Source organism: Homo sapiens, chromosome 12, assembly GCF_000001405.40.
Source record: "Homo sapiens chromosome 12, GRCh38.p14 Primary Assembly".
Classification (NCBI taxonomy): domain Eukaryota; kingdom Metazoa; phylum Chordata; class Mammalia; order Primates; family Hominidae; genus Homo; species Homo sapiens.
The window spans coordinates 32,598,744-32,619,272 of NC_000012.12; the positions used below are offsets into that span (position 1 = coordinate 32,598,744).

The 20,529-nt window shown below is 39.7% G+C and overlaps 1 protein-coding gene across 24 annotated transcripts in view; it reads left to right on the forward strand.

The window, feature by feature from the left end:
• Positions 1 to 20,529, forward strand: part of FGD4 (FYVE, RhoGEF and PH domain containing 4) — a 246,493-nt gene that overhangs the window by 199,186 nt on the left and 26,778 nt on the right. For 19 of the 24 annotated variants that reach the window (NM_001370298.3, NM_001384126.1, XM_047428291.1 and 16 more), the window contains 5 exons: positions 2,535 to 2,680; positions 3,418 to 3,574; positions 9,214 to 9,352; positions 12,033 to 12,091; positions 12,394 to 12,540. In NM_001370298.3, coding sequence (NP_001357227.2) covers positions 2,535 to 2,680; positions 3,418 to 3,574; positions 9,214 to 9,352; positions 12,033 to 12,091; positions 12,394 to 12,540 — 648 coding nt within the window. Of the gene's footprint in view, positions 1 to 1,666; positions 1,767 to 2,534; positions 2,681 to 3,417; positions 3,575 to 9,194; positions 9,353 to 12,032; positions 12,092 to 12,393; positions 12,541 to 20,529 lie in introns of those variants that run through there. The other 5 variants (NM_001304484.2, NM_001304483.2, XM_011520559.4 and 2 more) reach the window with 5 other exon arrangements.

Consider the following 20,529-nt stretch of genomic DNA (forward strand, 5'->3'; position numbering starts at 1 on the left):
AGTGAATTCACTAGGTATAAGCATTTTCTAATTTGTAAAGAGTAGAGGTTTCTCTCTATGAATCACAAAATGTGTTTATCAAGTGTCCTATAAACTTAAACACTAGTCTGTTTCCTGACCTTTCATTGTCATCCTGGGGACCATGTTACCACTAAAATCTAAATAAGATATTGATGATTCTAATGCTAAGATGGATGTGTCATTGATTCTGTTTGCCTCATTTGCTATCTAGCATTATGTGAGTGATCTGAGCTGGTGTAGTCATAGGGCCAGAAGGGATTTTGAAAGTTCACTTATTCGACCTTGTATGAAACATTTAATATAGTACCTGGCATAAAGTTGCCCAGCTGATATTTGTTTAATGTGTGAATGTACTTTATCATATATTGTACTTGCATCATGAAACCTTGAGTATCATTTCAAATATACACTTGGAAAGTCTAAGAACATATTATAAGAATAACTTTTGGGCTGGGCGCGGTGGCTCACGCCTGTAATCCCAGCACTTTGGGAGGCCGAGGCGGGCGGATCACGAGGTCAGGAGATCGAGACCATCCTGGCTAACACGGTGAAACCCCGTCTCTACTAAAAATACAAAAAATTAGCCGGGCGTGGTAGCGGGCGCCTGTAGTCCCAGCTACTCGGGAGGCTGAGGCAGGAGAATGGCGTGAACCCGGGAGGCGGAGCTTGCAGTGAGCCGAGATCGCGCCACTAGCACTCCAGCCTGGGTGACAGAGCGAGACTCCGTCTCAAAAAAAAAAAAAAGAATAACTTTTGAAAACTAAGGCATCTTTTTTTTTTTTTTTTTTTTTTTTTTTTTTGGAGATGGAGTCTGGCCCTGTCGCCCAGGCTGTAGTGCAGTGGTTTGATCTTGGCTCACTGCGACCTCCTACTCCCAGGTTCAAGCAATTCTCCTGCCTCAGCCTCCCGAGTAGCTGGAATTACAGGCATGCACCACCCACGCCCGGCTAATTTTTTCTGTCTTTAGTAGAGACGGGGTTTCACCATGTTGGCCAGGCTGGTCTTAAAGTCCTGACCTTGTGATCCTCCCACCTTGGCCTCTCAAAGTGCTGGGATTACAGGCGTGAGCCACCACGCCTGGACCCTAAGGCATCCTAATCCTGTTTCAGCAATAAAGAATAGGACAAATGGTAGATTGCCCATATAGCCTCCTTGTTAGAAGGGAAAGCTGCCATGTTAGAGTGTTACTTATAAGAATTGTCCCACTTCTGCCATTGGAAACTGGAATTTCATGGAAACAGGCAATCCTGTGCATACCTCCTTATCATTAGTTCCAGAAGTGAACCACTTGCCTGCTAGGGTGAGCCATGAGAAGCCATTTTAAGGCCTATGCTCTTTGAAAGAATGAGTTTATGGGTCACATATTCATTTTTGAAGGAATTTCACCATAAGCCAAAATCAAATGATATGAAGTTTGTACCTTTGAAACAACTTTCTTCCTTATGGGAATTACAGACCTGAAATTTTAGATATTCCCATAGTGGAGATATTTCTTTTCTCTTATCAAGTTGTGTGGTTTTCTAAAGCCAAATAACTCGTCAGCCACTGCTGCTGACCTTTTAGAATTCTAGAGTCCTAATTACTATAGTAACCTAACTATTGGAGCCTCTAAGGACATAATTTTTTGTTCTTTTTGCCTCTCAAGAAAATAGAGTGGAGGTGAATTTAGAAAATTAACAACCATCTGGACATTATGAAGGAATAGACCTCCTTCTGCCTACATGTAACAGAATGGCAATTAAGAGGTATAGTAGCCCTAGTGAAGTATAGCTAAGACTGAAGGTTTGGGTTTTTGTTTTTTGTTTTTCTTTCTTTCTTTCTTTCTTTCTTTTTTTTTTTTTTGTCTTCAAGGTACGTGTTACTATGTGTAGGAAGAGACTTTTCCCCCTACATATCAGTGTTTTACATTACTATGCATTATTATTTACTAAAAAGCAGGTAAGTATCTGAGAATTGAAATATTCCTTTGTCCATTCATTGGCCAGTTATTATGCACTTGTTCTGTTGTGGGAACTAAATCATGATGTTCCCCTTTCCCAAGGAGCATACAATTTTAATAGGAAAAATGAGACTTATGTCAGCAAACTACAATAAAGGGAAATATGTAATAAGTGAAGAAGTCTTTCGAAACATAAAGAGAAGTGAAAAATACCACAATTACTGTGTATACATAAAGTGTTTTCACATTTCCTAACTCTGGCTTATGGATAGGAAGGGTGAATTCTATTAACCTCAACTGGAAATTTTCTGGCACAGAAAAGGTGAATTATTCGCCATAATATTCCTATGGATAGGAGCATAGCCTAGATTAGAATCAAAGCTTCCTAATTCTTATTCCTGATTCTTCTAAATCAAAGCATATACTCACTCCTAAATTTCAAAGGATTCTCTTGAACTGTAAACTTTTCCATTTGCTCAATAAAAAGTTACTAAGAGCCCACTATGTGCCTAGCACAGTGCTAGGTGGTTAACCAATAAATGTGAAGTAATGCTTACATTATTCTTTTATTCAGGTATTTTATTGCAAACTGTTGGAAGAAGCAAACCGAGGCTCGTTTCCAGCAGAGATGGTGAATAAAATCTTTTCTAATATTTCATCAATAAATGCCTTCCATAGTAAATTCCTCTTGCCAGAGCTGGAGAAACGAATGCAAGAATGGTAAGAGGAGTAGATAGAAAATGATATGTTTAAGGCAGTCATGCTGTATTTTTCAGCTTTTAAATTGAAATAGAAATGCCACACACAACTGTAACTAGACATTTATGCTAAATTTTTACATTAAAGACTACTGATAGAAGTTGTGGTACAAAGGACTTCATGTCTGCTCTCCAAACTATCATTTAGCTAGTGAAGACAAGATATCGGGTAATGTGGAGCTTCAAGAATTCCGGAGCATCTCTCTTTGCTATGGCATTCTGATAGCCCCTTTAAAAAGGTGCTGCATTGTTTTCTATCAGCCTCACAGTACGGTGAATGAGATAAAGCACAGGATGTATGTAGAATGTGATTACTTCCTCTCTAGTCCTGTCAATTCACTCATTCTATAAGAAATCTTAATGTGCCGGGCGTGGTGGCTCATGCCTATAATCCCAGCACTTTAGGAGGCCAAGGCAGGCGGATCCCTTGAGCCCAGGAGTTCAAGACCAGCCTGGGCAACATGGTGACACACTATCTCTACAAAAAATACAAAAAGCTAGCCACTAGCCAGGCGTGGTGGCGCGTGCCTGTAGTCCCAGCTACTGAGAGTGCTGAAGCTGGAGGATTGATTGAACCTGGGAGGTCGAGGTTGCAGTGAGCTGTGATAATGCCACTGCACTACAGTCTGGGTGACAGAACAAGACCCTGTCTCAAAAAAAAATTTTTTTTAAAGACTTGTTTTTCTATATTTGATACAGGGAAACTACTCCTAGAATTGGAGACATCCTTCAGAAATTGGCACCATTCCTTAAGATGTATGGAGAATATGTGAAAGGATTTGATAATGCAATGGAATTGGTTAAAAACATGACAGAACGTATTCCCCAGTTCAAATCAGTGGTTGAAGAAATTCAGGTAATAGGACTGTTTTGTTCAAAGCTATGAATTACTATTTCCATACAAATTATACAGTCTTCTATATCTAAAACTGAGATCTAGAGATCTGTCTGAGATACCTAGCCAAAATTCATTCTACTCCAAATTATGCAGATCATCTCTGCAATGCTGAAATACGTATCAGTCACATGCTGCATACTAAGCAATAACTTCTCCATTTGCTTTTGAGACCAGCAGAGGATGATTTTTATTAGGGTCTACATAAATTTACAAAATGAGTTCCCATTCGGGTCTGTGTCTCTCTTGCATTCTTTCAGAGGTTAAGTTGTTGGAAGGAATATAAAGAATGATTGCTGTAAACCTTGAGATTTGGGAAACTAATCATTCTTTTTTTGTCACTTGATATCTGTGTCCTCATTTTCTTCTGTTTCACCAAACCTGAATAACATACTTTAATAATACCATAATAATTTCCACTTGATTCTCTAGTCAAAATTGTTAATGTCATATTCTTTGATACAGTTGATATTGAAAAGGCATATTTTAGATCATCTAAGATTCTTGGCATGGGAATTCTGTTGTTCCTTGACTGTCTTCTTTTGTGTCATATGAATTTTTTTAATTGTACCATTTTAATTCCTCTAATTGTCAAATGATTTTTTGAGTTATTTTCCAGTGGTTGCTTTTAGGATTATAGTATGCATCTTAATTTTTCACAATGTACTTCAGATTATACTCACCTTAATTCTTGTAAAATGTAGACACTTTGTTCCAATATAGCTCTGTTCCCTCCTCTATGCTCTGTGCTATTAGTGTCCTGTATATTAAGTTTTTATATGTTGTGAGTCTATAATACAGTGCTACAATTGTTATGGAAGGATATGAGAAAAAAATGTATCTATAAGTCTATTGTATACTATTATATTTGCCCTTTCTGGAGTAAGTTTCTTTCAGCATACATGGTTGTTCTGTCAGTCTTTGTCTGGGACTACACTTATTTTTTCTTGACTTTTGAATGAATGAAGAATGAAGTCCAGTTTAGCTAGATTGGGAATTCCTGGTATATGGGTTTTTCCTTTTTATTTTATTTATTTTTTTTTTTGGAGACGGAGTCTCGCTGCTCTGTTGCCCAGGCTGGAGTGCAGTGGCGTGATCTAGGCTCACTGCAAGCTCCGCCTCCTGGGTTTACTTAGCCATTCTCCTGCCTCAGCCTGTTGCTGGGACTACAGGCGCCTGCCACCACGCCTGGCTAATTTTTTGTATTTTTAGTAGAGATGGGGTTTCACCGTGTTAGCCGGGATGATCTCTATCTCCTGACCTTATGATCTGCCTGCCTCGGCCTCCCAAAATGCTGGGATTATAGGCGTGAGCCACCGCGCCTGGCCTTTGTTTCTATAATGTTTATTATTTTTTTTTTTTAGAGACAGGGTCTTGCTCTTGTCACCCAGGCTAGAGTGCAGTGGCCCAGTCACAGCTCACTGCAGCCTTGAACACTTGGGCTTGAGCAATCCTCCCACCGCAGCCTCTCAGGTAGCTGGGACTACAGGCATGCGCCACCACCCTGGCTAAATCTTAGAATTTTTTTATAGAAACAAGGTCTGGCTATGTTGCCCAGGCTGGTCTTGAACACCTAGACTCAGCCTCCCAGAGTGCTGGGATTACAGGCATGAGCCACTGCACTCAACCAGTATATGGAGATCCCCCCCAGCACTTTGAATATGTCATTCTCCTGCTTTCCGTCCTCTGTGGTTTGAGATGAGAAGCCAGCCATTGATTGTATTGATACTCCCATGCGTGTGATGAGTCACTTTTCTCTTGCTGCTTTCAAGATGTTCTCTGTTTTTTGGCTTTCAGCAGTTTAAATATGATGTGTCTGGGTGTGGACCTTTTTGTATTTGTCCTGGTTAGGGTTGGTTGAGCTTTTTGCATTTGTAGATTGATTTTTTTTTAATCATTTTCAGAAGTTTTCAGCCATTATTTCTTCAAATATTTTCTGTCCTTTTCACTTTCTCTTTTTTAAAATCTTTTTACTCCCATTACACAAATTTTGGTGGGTTCCTTTTGTTTGTTTTGGAAATGGTGTCTTGCTGTGTTGCCTAGGCTGGCCTTGAACTCCTGGGTTCAAATGATACTCCCAATCTTTGTTCTATTATTCAGATTGTATAATTTCTACTAGTCTTTCTTCAAGTTCCCTGATTCTTCTGTCATCTCAAATCTGCTGTTGAACCTATAGTGAATTTTTCTTTTCAATTACTGTATTTTTCACATCTACAACCACAACTTCTGGCTAGTAGAGTTATTGGCTCTCACCTCTCACTCACCTCAGGGATCTTCACTTCTACTGATGTTGTTGGGTGTGTATGTTGCCCACCACTCCAAATGAATGAGCCCTTTTCAGCCTCAGCAGAGGAGCTGCCAGTCCTCACAGTCCGTGCCACCCTGATGGCCCCTTCATAGTGACTGAGCTGGGAGAGGAACAGGAGCAGCCACAGGCTAGAATGCCACAGATTCTCACCGTTCTTACCCAAAGTTCAACAATTTTTAAAGTGTAAACAGATTTCAGGTTGTTGCATGCCTTTTAATCAATTTCTAAAATGCAAATATTGTTTTGTCAATTTTATCTAGCTTTATAGCTGCTTTTTTTTTTTTTTTTTTTGGAGTTAGAGTCTTGCTCTGTCACCCAGGCTGGAGTGCAGTGGTATGATCTCGGCTCACTGTAACCTCTGCCTCCTGGGTTCAAGCGATTCTTGTGCCTCAGCTTCCTGAGTAACTGGGATTACAGGTACATGCCACTACACCTGGTTAATTTTTGTACTTTTAGTAGAGACGGGGTTTCGCCATGTTGGCCAGGCTGGTCTCAAACTCCTGGCCTCAAATGATTCCCCCGTCTCGGCTTTCCAAAGTGCTAAAATTACAGGCAGGAGCCACTGCACCCGGCCTATCAGCTGCTTTTAACAGGGAGGATTTGCCAGTCTCTTCATTCAGCTGTAGCCAGAAGGTCTGCCTCATCCCCTTCACTCCTTTTTTTTTTTAACATTCTTTTATTTTGTAATTAAACACTCCCCTACCTTACTGAATATTGGGCTCCTGCTTTGATTTTTACTAGCTTCTTTTGCTAACTCTGAAATGTAGGCAGAGCACAAAGTTTGCCTTCTACATTCTTCTTTCTTTTCATACTTTTCAGTGATATCCTATTCCCACATGCCTTTAACTTGCCAGACAGGTTCCTCTAGGGTTGCTGTTTCTAGTCTAGTTCTCTACTCCCAAACTCTAGGTACAAACAGCTGAGCATGTGAATATCTTGTCATCCAAACAAAGTCAATATTTTCTTTTCCTATTTTTAGCTCCCAAGCATTTTTCCATCTGACTTTTTAGGCCTTACATAGAGTAGATAATTATTCTGATATGTATTGGATTTATTAGGTGACACCATTATCCTGTCATTTACCAGAGCTTGACAACTTAGCTTTATCTTTGATTTGTTACATGTCTTCATTCTCTGTATGTGTTCATTTGCCTGTGAAATAATGTATTCAAATTGCTTAGCGTAGTGCTTGTTGCATAGTAAGTGCTCACTAAATGATAGTGGCGATGGTGGTGATAGTGGTAGTTATTGTCTAGTCACACTCTGAATTCTATCTGTACAATGTCTGTCTTCTCTATATTATGATGAAATGACATGGGTTGTGAAAAGAGTGGTAGATTGGGAATCAACTAACCTAGTTTAGAATCCTAAGTCTGCTGCTTATAGTCACTTGACCTTAGGAAACGCTCCTAAATTATCTGAGCCACAGTTTCTTCATGTAAAATATTTGGGATCAGTAATACTTTCCTTGATGTACGTAATAGATTTTGGGAAAACCCAATGAGATATTTAAATTTATATAATTAATATCTTAAACTTTATTAAGGAAAGCTATTCTCTCAGCTTCTATGCCAATTTCAGGCCCTTATTATTTTCTTCCTGGTCTATAATAACAACTTCCAAACTAGTTTCCCCCGTCCCCCTAAAGCCACACTGCAGTAGATTAATCTAATAGAGCTCAGATCTAATGATACAACTGTCATGCACAAAAATCTACATTAGATGAAAAAAATCTAAACTCACCTTGACATTATTACCCATATTACCATTACTTTACGTCTTCTATTTTCCTCTACTTATTTTTTTTTTTTTGCCAAGAAAACCTCTCTGTCCCTTTCATTTAACATACTTCATGCTTCATTACTGTGGGCCTGTTCTCTCAGGTTTCTCCTCCTGGGCTCGCTCCCTAGTCTGTCTTTTTCTTCAGAGCCTGTACTTATCAGAGGTTGCATTAAATGTTCCCTTCTCTGTGAAGCCTTTAGTCACTTGTTTGCTTCAAATGCAAACACCATGTCTTAATATAGCTTTGATGCTTTGCAGTACCCTGATCATGGTGTGAATTCAGTATATACTTTAATGGGATTTCTGCTTTGTTTAACAGGAACAAGAACATTTCTTATTTTTTCATCTCTTTTGTTAACAGTTTCTTGGAAGCAAGTGATACGGTCTTAATTTTGCCCTAAGAAATGGAGCTCTATTTACAGAATTTGGTTTCTAATGAAAAAGAATGCTTTGAACTGATGAAAAAATAAAATTTTCTGACAGATAAGATGCCCAGACCTTGTTATTCTTCTATATGGAGTCTTTTTTAAGTTCAAAGGCAATGACATTTATCATAGCCTTATTATCAAATAGTTTCTGCTGAGTCCAAAGTCATTTAATACAGTTGTGCTTAGCAAACCTCATTAAATAGGCACATCTTTTGAAAAATCTATATAGAATGATTTAATAATGTGACTTCACAAACCCTTGTAGTGACTAATTGAAGTGGTTATCAGCAATCTGGAATTTTCTTGCTTAAAATTCTGCTTGATTTTTTTTCCTCCTTTCTGTTCTTACACCAGATTGGTAGTTCTCAACTTCAGTGTTATAGAAATATCAGGTGTTTTTAAATGCATATTCTCTAGCTGGGCATGGTGGCACGTGCCTATAGCTACTTGGAAGGCTGAGGTGGGAGGACTACTTGGGCCCAGGAGGCAGAGGTTGCAGTGAGATCACACCACTGTGTGCCTGGACAACATAGTGAGACTCCGTCTCAAAAAAAGAAGAAAAAAATGCATATTCTCCATCTCCTTCCCCAAAGATTGTGATGTTACAGATTGAGGTGGGGTTCAGAAATCTGTTTTCTGTTGTTGTTGTTGTTTTTTTTGAGACGGAGTCTCACTCTGTCACCCAGGCTAAGTGGCACGATCTTGGCTCACTGAAACCTCCGCCTCCCAGGTTCAAGCAATTCTCCTGCCTCAGGCTCAGCCTCCGCATAGCTGGGACTACAGGCGTGTGCCACCACGCCTGGCTAATTTTTGTATTTTTAGTAGAGGCGGGGTTTTGCCATGTTGGCCGGGCTGGTCTCAAACCCTGATCTCAGGTGATCCACCTGTCTCAGCCTCCCACAGTGCTGGGATTACAGGTGTGAGACACTGTGCCTGGCCAGAAATCTGCATTTCATGCAGGTGATGGACAGTCACACTTTGTCGAAAAATATTGCCCTTGACGAAAGTTCTGTTTTACAGTGAGTTTTTAGACTTGCTAACCTAATTTTTAAATGTTTCTTAGAAAACCTTTCTCATTACAGAAACAGAAAATCTGTGGGAGCTTAACTTTGCAGCATCACATGCTAGAACCTGTTCAGCGGATTCCCCGGTATGAGATGCTCCTTAAGGACTATCTAAGGAAATTGCCTCCTGATTCCCTGGACTGGAATGATGCTAAAAGTAAATGCTTTTTTTTTGTTTTCTCCCTATTTTGGAATAATCAAGTGGCCAAGCAGCCTTATGGTTTCAAAGAGAAATACATCTCACAGCTACTTTAGTCAAATGTTGCTGTTAGAAGATAATTTCATTGGAAATTGTTATCATCACTTCAGTTAGGCAAGTCACTTTTGAGCCAAAATGACAAGTTTAGAGCAATGCAAATCACATTAATTTTGCTGGTTCCATGTTAGTCACTGGCTCTGAAATATAAAATTATAGTCTTAAAGACATCTAGAATAGCAATACACAATTTCCTTGTCAGAGGAAGAATATAGCCATTCAGAATTACAAGTGCTCCTGTTTAATTAGATAGGTTGGTGCATACCAAGAAAGCTAAGGTGACATTCACTATGTAAAAATAACCTAAGCAGAGTTGGCTGCACCTGCCCTAACGTGCTACCATAACAGGAAATGGTGCTTTTTATTGTCCAATAACATTTTCTTCAAGAAAAATGTATTTCAATTATGTTAGATGTCTTATTTTTTCATCAGATTATAATGAAAGGGGTTTTTTTAAAGGCTTATGAGTTTCAATAATACTTTACCTTTTTCTGCACTTTTACAAATCAACTGTAAAGGCATGAATGAAAATTTAAGAAATAACAGTGGCTTGATATTCAACAAGCAGTGGTTGTACTTGTGTACAACCTTAAAACATTGCTACTTTCCCTTGTAATTTCTTGTTTTCTGTCATAAGTGAACCTGGATGAGAGACGAAGTACGTAAAACATTTTTTGTCTTGGATCCTTAACCTTTTCTTTTTAAATTATTATTGTTGTTATTATTACTATTATTATTTTGACACAGAGTCACACCCTGTTGCCCAGGCTGGAGTGCAGTGGCGCGATCTTAGCTCACTGCAACCTCCACCTCCCGAGTTCAAGCCATTCAGCTAATTTTTGTGATTTTAGTAGAGACGGGTTTTCACCATGTTGGCCAGGCTGGTCTTAAACTCCTGACCTCAGATGATCCACCCACCTCAGCTTCCCAAAGTGCTGGGATTACAGGTGTGAGCCACTGCTTCTGGCCCTGATCCTTAGCCTTTTCTAGAACACAAGCTGTCTCAGATGTGTTTCTCCCATCATTTGAGTGACTCTGACCACAGAAACTTCTCTTCTCCATTGGCCCCTTCCATAGTGTAGGATGAACTCGGCTTGCCATCTCCTCAAACCAACTACTTCCTATGAATTCTTCCCTGTCTCCATTTTCCATCCATCTCACCTGACTGCTTGATTTGAGTGGCAGATCTAGTGGTGGGGGTGGAGGTGGAAACACTACTGCTTTTCCTCAAATTCATCTCTAGAGCAGTGGCTTTATCCCATCTTATTTTGTCTTCCTCTATCCTGGATCCTGTATCAAGTGCACAGCATCGCCCACATCAGAATAGTTCTTTAAAATGTAAATTAAAATTCAGTTTATTCTACACTCAGACTTTGGTATCCCCTTAGATGCCCATGTCAAAAATGAGAAAGTTGGTGACATGGTATGGCATTTTATTGCTTTTTGTTTGTTTTCCATTGCTACTTTCACTCAAATTCCAAGGAAATCACAGAAGAAGGGCTTTTTGGTGACCTAAAAGTAGAAATGAAAGCAACAAAATGCATTCTGTCCAGCAGTACACTGAAGACAAAAAATGTAGTTGAAAAGTCTCAGGGTTGTTGTGGTAACAGAATTAAGCAGGCCGGTATTCACAAAACAGAAAAGAAAGGAAGAAAATGGGACATGATTTAGGATTGAGAGGTTTTTCCTAGGGTTAGTCCAGCAAGAGGTCTCGGCATCCACAGCACTTCACCAGCAGCCTCTGGAGCTCCTACGATGTCCACACCAAAGAGTTCCCATTCCCACCTGCCCCAGGAACAAAACCCTCCAACACTGGCCTCAGAAGATTCCCTTTCACCCGACCCAGGCTAGAACTGTGAATGTATTTTCCCAAAGAAAGTAGGTTATGCTTAGTGGTTAATTTGCTCATACAACTAGTAAAATACTTACTACTCATGAAATATTTTAGAACTTTTGAGTCAGAAACCTGGGTTTAAATCTGGCCCTTCAATAGCATAGCTGTGTGACCTCAGCCAAGTTGTATTACTTCCCCATTTCATTCATCTGCCAAATGGAGCTAAAATACTTAATGGTTTAAGGCTGTGTAAGAATTGATATTGTAATAAAGTACCTGGTATGGATTTAGTATACACTGTAAGTTTCAAAGTCTGAGTATAGAAGAAACTGAATTTTTGTTTACATTTTGGAGAACTATTCTGATTTGGGCAATTCTGTGCACTCAATACAGGATCCAGGAGAGAGGGAGACAAAATAAGTTGGGCTGGGGCCACAGCTCAAGAGATGAACTAAGGAAAAGCAGTGATGTTTCTATCTCTGCTTATTAATTTTGATGGTTCATTGGGGATTAATTAAACCTGTGAGCCTAAATCATCATGTATGACTTTTTATAAGGAAATACGAAGTTTCAAGTAATCTGCTTACAAATGAACTTTAGAAAGTATATACCGTTTATAAATGGAAAATGCCACTATTTTTGTTGTATCTTTGGTCTCAGACTTCTTAATTTAGTAAGTTACTCAGCTATATAGAAGCACAGGAAGGACAAAGCATATTTATTTACTTTTCTTTTTTTCCCATTTAGAATCACTTGAAATTATATCTACAGCAGCAAGCCATTCTAATAGTGCAATAAGGAAAATGGTAAGTGGTTTTCGGAGGAGACAGGAACCTCTGATTAGACAATTATCAATAATACTGCCTCAATACTATGTAGATTTGGACCAAAGTGAATTGAAATAGATGAGCCAAAAAGAATGTTTATGAAATGTTTAATGTTATCTGGAATAATTCTCTGAACTTGCTAATAAGTGATGGAATTTATATTAAAATGTATGCTTACTCCTAATCCCTTCTAAATTTAGATTTTAGTTAAGGTCATAGTATTATTAAAGCTACTAGGTTGAAACCTGCCTGTATGTGATCTTGCTGTTTTAATTTCCTAGGAGAACCTAAAGAAACTCTTAGAGATTTATGAAATGTTGGGAGAAGAAGAAGACATTGTAAACCCTTCAAATGAACTAATAAAAGAAGGACAGATCCTCAAACTAGCTGCTCGGAACACTTCAGCACAAGAACGCTACCTTTTCTTAGTGAGTATTATAGTGTTGGCAAGTCATATAAGAATTATATATAAAAATATGGCTGGGCACGGTGGCTCATGCCTGTAATCCCAGCACTTTGGGAGGCCGAGGCGAGTGGATCTCCTGAGGTCAGGAGTTTGAGACCAGTCTACTAAAAATACAAAAAGTAGCTGAGTGTGGTGGCGGGTGCCTGTAATCCCAACTACTCAAGAGGATGAGGCAGGAGAATTGCTTGAACCTGGGAAGTGAGCTGGTTGTAGTGAGCTGAGATCGTGCCACTGCACTCCAGTCTGAATGACAGAGCGAGACTCCATCTAAAAAAAAGGAATTATATATAAAAATAGTTGTATACACCTTGGAAAAATAGAATGTTTCCTTATTCACCAAAGCAATTACATCTAACCTGGTTTAGTCAACATTCCATTTAGGGAATATTCCATTTAGGGATTCAATTTAGGGAAATATTCTAAGTAACGTATTTTTCTGTATACTTGGTATGGATGGCAGGCAGTAGTGGCCCATCTGGAGCAGTTGCTGCAGTGATGCTGGTTGCAGCGGGGGAGGCATGGCCAGGGCAGCTACCCAGCCGCAGCTGCCGACTCAGGCATTCCTGTGCTCTCAGGGGCCCGGGAAGCCCCCTGTACCCCTGCAGGCTCAGAAATGCCTGCTCCCACTGCCTGGCCTCTCCCCGCTCCCAATGCCTGTTCCGATTTCGGAGCAAATTTGGAGCCAAGCCTAGGTGCTGTTGCAAACCGGCAGGGTGTGCACACACTTGGGGCAGCGCTGATATGCCAGCCCCCTGGTATCTCAGCCCCTTCCAGACTTTGGTGCCAATGAGCATGGGAGGGAAGCCAAGGGGTTGCTGAGGGTGGCTTGGTGTGGGCCTGCATGTTCCCCAGTGCCAGCAGTGGAAGCCACTTGCAGTACGCTTGCTCCAGCCACAGCTTTGCAGGGAGCCGGTGCCCATGCTGGTGCCTAGAAATGCTCCCATTGCTGTAGCCAGCATGCCTGGCTGTGCGCGTGACCCGGACCCTGTGCTCGCTCATTCACGTACCCCTTGCTGCTCCAGGCTCGCCTTTGGCAGGCCTGGGATCTGGGCTGGTAGCACAAACCAAGCGCAGCCTGCCAGGCCGAATGGGCAGAATGAGCCCAGCAGGCCCAAGCAGAACTCAGGCAAAGGAGCCACTGGCCACAAAGGTGTCCAGCTGACAAAGCAACACCCCAAGGATCCTTTGACAGTATAATTTACTTCAGTAGCACATACTGACAACAATTTAACTTTACACACGTGGGATATGATACTTTCGGAAATCCTCCTTTTGCTTGTTTCAGATTTTCTCTTTCATTTCATTCTCAGGTAATTGGGTACCATTTCCTGGATATTTTGTTGGTGTATCATTTCCTGACATCAATTCTCTTCCTAATCCTCTGTAGTCACTATTTTTAATCTTTCTAGGCTAAAAATATATATAAGCCTGGTTGTAAGTCTTGTGTCTAAAATATCTATGGGAAAAGTACATGAGTTCTCTACACAGTTCTTTCTCACTGCAGTCAGTCCTTGACCCTTTCCTTCACTTCCTGGAAATGACAGTCTGGGGCTTATCTCAAATATAAGAGCACTTCCTGGGGCATCCAGACAATTTTTTTTTCTTTGGATTCTGTCCACCTGACCTTTACTCTTTGTTATCCTAATGAATTTCAATTCCTTTCTATATCTAATAAGATGATAATAAGAATCATAATAATATGCATTGACAAAGAATAAGCTAACATTGAATAATAGCTTAATAAACGTTAGCTTTCATTCTAATTGTTATTAAAGAGAAACAGACACATGGGTGAAAAGGCTGCCTGGTGACTGGCATACAGTACGTTCTTAGGATGTTATTCATGTCTGACTTTTCTGCTCTGAGGCAGTCATCTCACCCACCATAGCATGAGTTGTCATGGGGGCTTAGAGGCTTCTGTGTCTGTTTCCAGTCTCCATTGAAAGGAAAACTTAGGAACTAATTGTCATGCAGAGGGGTGTTCAGTACAAGGGGTCTTGAAAAAGTTCATGGAAAATGCATGTTATGAAAAAACTATGCGTAGATTTCAAAGCTTTTTTTGCAACAAAATAAACCCATAGTAACTTGTTATAACATGTCTGAACAGTATCTGGTTTGGGGCACTAAGAAGGATAAGACATCAGTTTGAGGCCAGGCACAGTGGCTCATACCTCTAATACCAGCACTTTGGGAAGTTGAGACAGGAAGATGGCTTGAGCTTAGGAGTTCAAGACCAACCTGGGTAACATACAGAGACCTCCCTGTCTCTACAAAAAATTTAAAAATTAGCTGGGCATGGTAGCTTGCACCTGTACTCCTAGCTACTTGAGAGGAGGAGGATCCTAGCTACTGAGGCAGGAGGATCTCTTGAGCCAAAGAGTTCCAAGGCTGCACTGAGGTATGACCATGCCACCCAGCCTGGGTGACAGAGTGAGACCCTGTCTCAGAAAAATAAATAAATAAAAAATAAAGACATCAGGTTGAAAAGAGCCCCTATCAAAGCAACATGAATTCTGTTAAAATTGAAGCAAGAACAAACATCAAACTTACGGTGAAGTTTGGATGCAAAAATGATAAAATCATTGACACTTCATGAAAAGTTAATGGAGACAATGCCGCAAAGAAATCAGCAGTTTACAAATGGGTAACTAATTTTAAGAAGGGACAAGACATTGTTGAAGATGAAACCTGCAGCAGCAGACCATCCACATCCTTTTGCTAGGAAAAAGTTCATCTTTTTCCTGCCCTAATTGAAGAGGACTGACAATGAACAGCAGAAGCAGTAGCCAATACCACAGACATCTCATTGGGGTTCATCTTGCACAAGTCTGACCGAAAAATTAAAGTTAAGCAACTTTCCACTCAATGGGTACCAAAAATGTTGCACCCAGATCAGCTGCAGACAAGAGCAGAACTTTTGGTGGAAATCTTAAATAAGTGGCATCAAGCTTCTAAAGCATTTCTACAATAAATTGTAACAGGAGATGAAACATGGCTTTCCCAGTACGATCCTGAAGACAAAACACAATCAGAGCAATGGTTACCAACAGGTAGAAGTGGTCCAGTCAAAGCAAAAGAGGTCCAGTCAAGAGCAAAGGTCATGGCAGGGGTTTTTTGGGATGCTCAAGGCAATATGCCTGCTGACTTTCTCGAGGGCCAAAGAACAATAACATCTGCTTATTATGAGATGACTTGGAGAAAACTAGCAAAAGATTTTAGCAGAAAAACACCCAGGAAAGCTTCTCCAAAGAGTCCTTCTAAACCATGACAATGTTCTTGCTCATTATTCTCATCAAACAAGGGCAATTTTTCGAGAGTTTTGACAGAGAATCATTAAGCGTACACCTTACAGTCCTCTGACTTCTTTTTGTTTCCTAATCTTAAAGAATCTATAAAGGACACCCATTTTCTTCAGTTAATAGTGTAAAAACTACTGCATTGCCATGGTAAAATTCTCAAGACCCTCAGTTCTTTAGGATGGATTAAATGGCTGCTATCATTGATTACAAAATTGAACTTGGTAGAGCTTAGGTTGAAATAAATTTTTTCTTTTAATTCCATTTTTCCACAAACTTTTAAAAGTCTTTTTGTGTCAGTCATGTTTTTAAAAGAATTTGGTTGCTATATGACCCACTAGTTCTACTCCAAGTTTTTATAACTCAAGAAAATTGAAAACATGTGTCTGCACAAAAACTTGCACATCTTTGTCCATAACAGCATTATTCATAATAGCCAAAAAATTTGAGACAACCTAAATGTCCATTAACTGAATAGGTAAACAAAATGTGGTATGTTCATGCAATGAAATAGTATATGTCGAGAAAAAGGAATAAAAACTTATATATGCTACATGGATTAACCTTAAAATGTTGTGTCAAGTGAAAGATGCCAGTTACAACAGACCATATACAGTATGGTTCTATTTATATGAAATGTCCAGAAAAAGCAAATGCATAGAGAGAGGATGTAATTGGTGGTTCCCTAAGACTAGCAAGGAATGGAAAATGGATATGAGGTTTCCTTTTAGAGACATAAAATGTTCTGGAATTGGTGATAGTTGCACAATTTACAACTATCCTAAAAACCATGATTTGTACATTTTAAAAGAGTAAATTTTATGGTATGTGAATATCTTCATAATTTAAAAATGTGTATTTTTACCAGATTAACTATAAAAGTTCTCATTTGTGCTAAACACAAGTACTTCTTTCACGGGTAATATAGATAGCTAAATAGAAAACAAGGATGTGTCATGTTAGGGTTCAGAGTCTTCTTCAGAGGTCTATTATAAAAGATCACATGACTGCCATCGGAAGGGCAGATCGGGGTGGGGTGGGGGTGTGGCATATGAAGCGGGAGAGCAGTGGGGAAGCACCAGCGTCAGGAGGCAGAGGAGCAAGCAGAAAACGTGGGCAAGAGCCTTTATTGTGGTTTCTGCAGGAAGGAATGGGCAAGACAGAGCACCAGGATTAGGATTGGCTAGTTGGAATAATTTCTTTAGGGGTTAGGGGCTGTTGTCCTGGCCCTGAGGTGATTGGGGCAGGAGAATAGTGTCCCAGAGAGTAAGTGTTTAATACAGGGGGTGACTGCGGGTGTGAGTTCTGACTTGGTTGGTTTCCACATGAAAGGCGTGTTACTCTCTCTAGGAATCGGGTAATCCTGGGAGGGGCAGTCCTGTCAGTGTCAACAAGGCCTTAAGATGCCTAAAATCAAAAATACTTAATAAAAAGACGTGCTTAATACATCATTCTAGGCAACATAACCAGGAGCCAATGTCTTTCCTCTGTCTTTGCCTTTCAGTTGCTAGGATCATTTTCCTTTCTCCTCTTCCTCATTAATGTGACAGCCTCTGCAGTTAAACTCTGAGCTCTGGGTCTAACCAATTGCCTCGGCCTAATTTTCACTTCTGGGAGTTGTTTTGGAAAGAGGTTTCTGTTGAATATCTTGAGGCAGAGCTGAATTAAACAGCTCTTTGGAGTCCAGGTGGCAAAGAACCTTGGGGAAAGTGGCAGTCAGTGACTGAGGAAAAGACCCCTCCTGTTCCAGTTACTTTAAGCCATCAAACATATGCCGTTGCCTCCCAGGAGAATGAGGTCACATGGCAGGAATTTTAGGAGAGCCACATTTATTCTTTGAAGACCATCTTAGAAACATTTCCAGTGTCATGTTGGTTCTTTTCATCCACCCTCTCCAGTGCTGTGCTTGTCACAGAATCTTGCCTTGCCAGTGCACATTTATTCCCATGGAACCTCTTGTTCTTTTACTTGTAGAAACTTCAGAAGCACCATTTTTATTTTCTTTTCTCTCTAGAAAGGTAATGAGGGCTAGTTTTCTGTTTCCTACACTTGAGATAATACATTTGTCTGGAAAACCAAACTGTATTTAGAATCTGCTATCTGCTTTTAAATGATCTTCATGTGTTTGCATATTTTCATGCCTCCATACCATACTTTTTCATTGTTTTTTATGTTAATGTAGGATGCTGTTTAATGTAAGCCATTTCATGTTGCTATCACAGAACACCTGAGACTGGCTAATTTATAAAGAACAGGGGTTTATTTTCTGCAGTTCTGGAGGCTGGGAAGTCCAAGATTGCGGGGCTGGCATCTGGTGAGGGCCTTCTTACTGCATCATAACATGCAGAAGGCAGGCATCACATGGTGAGAGAGAGAGAGAGAGCAAGAAATCCACCTCATGGCCTCAAGCCCTTTTATAATCAGCATTAATCCATTCCTGGATTAATTCATAGATTATTGGGGTCTTCATGACCCAAACACTTACCATTAAGCCCCATCTCCCAACACTTCTGCATTAGGGATTAAGTTTCCAACACACGCTTTTTACACATTCAAACCATGGCAGCTACTCTTGAAATAAACTGTCTGACATCCAAAAGTTAAAAAATAAAATAAAATCACCAAATTATCCCACAAAACAACCAAGACTTTTTATTCTTGGCTCTTTGGAGTTTTCTGTTCCTTATTTCCTTGGAATTTGATAGATGCAGATAATTTTTCCCTTATTTAATCTTTGAACACAGAACGAGCACTAGAAATTTTCTCCACCAGTATCCTATTACCTTTGAAAACAAACATTAATGAAATTGTCACTGGTGAGAAAACAAATTGAATTATTTCAGTCAAATATATTTTTAGAGGCTTGAAATAAATACTTGAACAGTAGAGATCAAGAAAGACCCTCCCTGTGTTTTTAATAATATTGAGGCTTGTAGTTTTTAATCACAACCTAGGACTTCTAGAAATTGCCTCGCTAGTCTGAGATTGCTTCACCAATCACTACTTCTAAGCTATGGGCATGAAATAAAAGGGAATCTCCTACCCTGAAAGGGAAAGTCAATGTTCTTCATGCCATAGTTGCTATAACTTCTTTTTTCAGTATCTGGGGAAACCCAAAGAGAAGTAATTATTTGTGAAAGGTGGTGGTGGCTTTTGCTACAGGAACAAGGTTCATGGAGGGAACAGGGCTAGCTACTTGGTTTCTTCCTATATATGACATAATCTTCTTTGTAAGCAATGTTTTCTATCGTGCGGGAGCTCCCACCTTCACCTATGCGAAGAGGAAAAGGATATTTATTGACTAGCATCATATTGTGATCAGAACTATTTTAAGATTCATATAGGATTTTTGACAGTTTAGAATGTGAAGTCCCATTTAGGGAGAATATAATAGAGGGGATGTAGTCCTGAAAGCATGAAAGGGAAGGAGAAACATACACATTTATAAGATAATCTGTCATGTGAGCGTAACTACAAATGGCAAATGCTAAGAACCTTCATATTCATGGACTTATTTCTATAAAACAGCATGAGTGCTGAACTTATAAAGCCAACTTGAGGACAAGTATCGGATAACTCACAAATTTTATGCCATACCATTACATTTGTCACTCAGTTTGCAGGAACAATTTGGTTATTGTTGGTGGCTGGAATGTGTGACCTCTGTCCCTTGTGCTGGTGGCTCTGTAGCTCCTGCAACATTCACAGCTTCAACCAAATATCCTCCTGAGAAGTCCTTGATAGAAGAGGGAAAGAAGTGTTAACAGGAAAAACTTAGCAAGCAAGCTGTGGCCTTAATCAGACGATGATATGGATGGTGATTAAAAACCTTTTGGAGCTTTTTTTCACGTGTTCTAATGAGATTTGAACTAATAAATAGGCTATTTTTTAAAAGCTTAACATTAAACAGTCTGGTTTAAAAAAAAAATTGCTGACCAGATGCTATGTCTCACACTATAATCCCAGCACTTCGGGAGGCTGAGGTGAGAGTATTATTTGAGACCAGGAGTTAAAGACCAGGCTGGGCAACATAGCTAGACCCTGTATCTACAAAAAAAATTTTTTAATTGAGGCCGGGCATGGTGGTTCACGCCTGTAATCCCAGGACTTTGGGAGGCCAAGGCAGGAGGATTGCTTGAGTTCAGGAGTTCAAGACCAGCCTGGGCAACATAGCAAGACCTCATCTCTACTAAGAAAAACTAGCTGGGTATGGTGGTGTGTTTCTATAGTCCCACCTACTCAGAAGGCTGAGGCAGAAGGATGACTTGAACCCAGAAGTTAAAGACTGCAGTGAGTCCTGTAGCCTGGGTGATAGAGTGAGACCCTCTCTCAGATATAATCATAATTGCTAAATATTACTGTCTTCTAACACCTTGTTTTAGACTTGCCCTCTAAGATACATCAATGAGAAATTCTTGTGTTTAAGAACTTACAAAGTTAAGAAATTAAGCTCCTGGTATATCAAAGGTCCTTAGTAATTTGTTGTGAATTTATTGAACTAATTTACTTAGTGCAGTAGTACAAAATTATTAATTTACATAAATATCAATAAAATATGTATAAGCCATGAATGGGAAATATATTTTTCAAAATGTAGGAATATGATTTTTTATACAAGCATAAACCTCAGTGTTTTAGTAAATAATTTTTCTCAT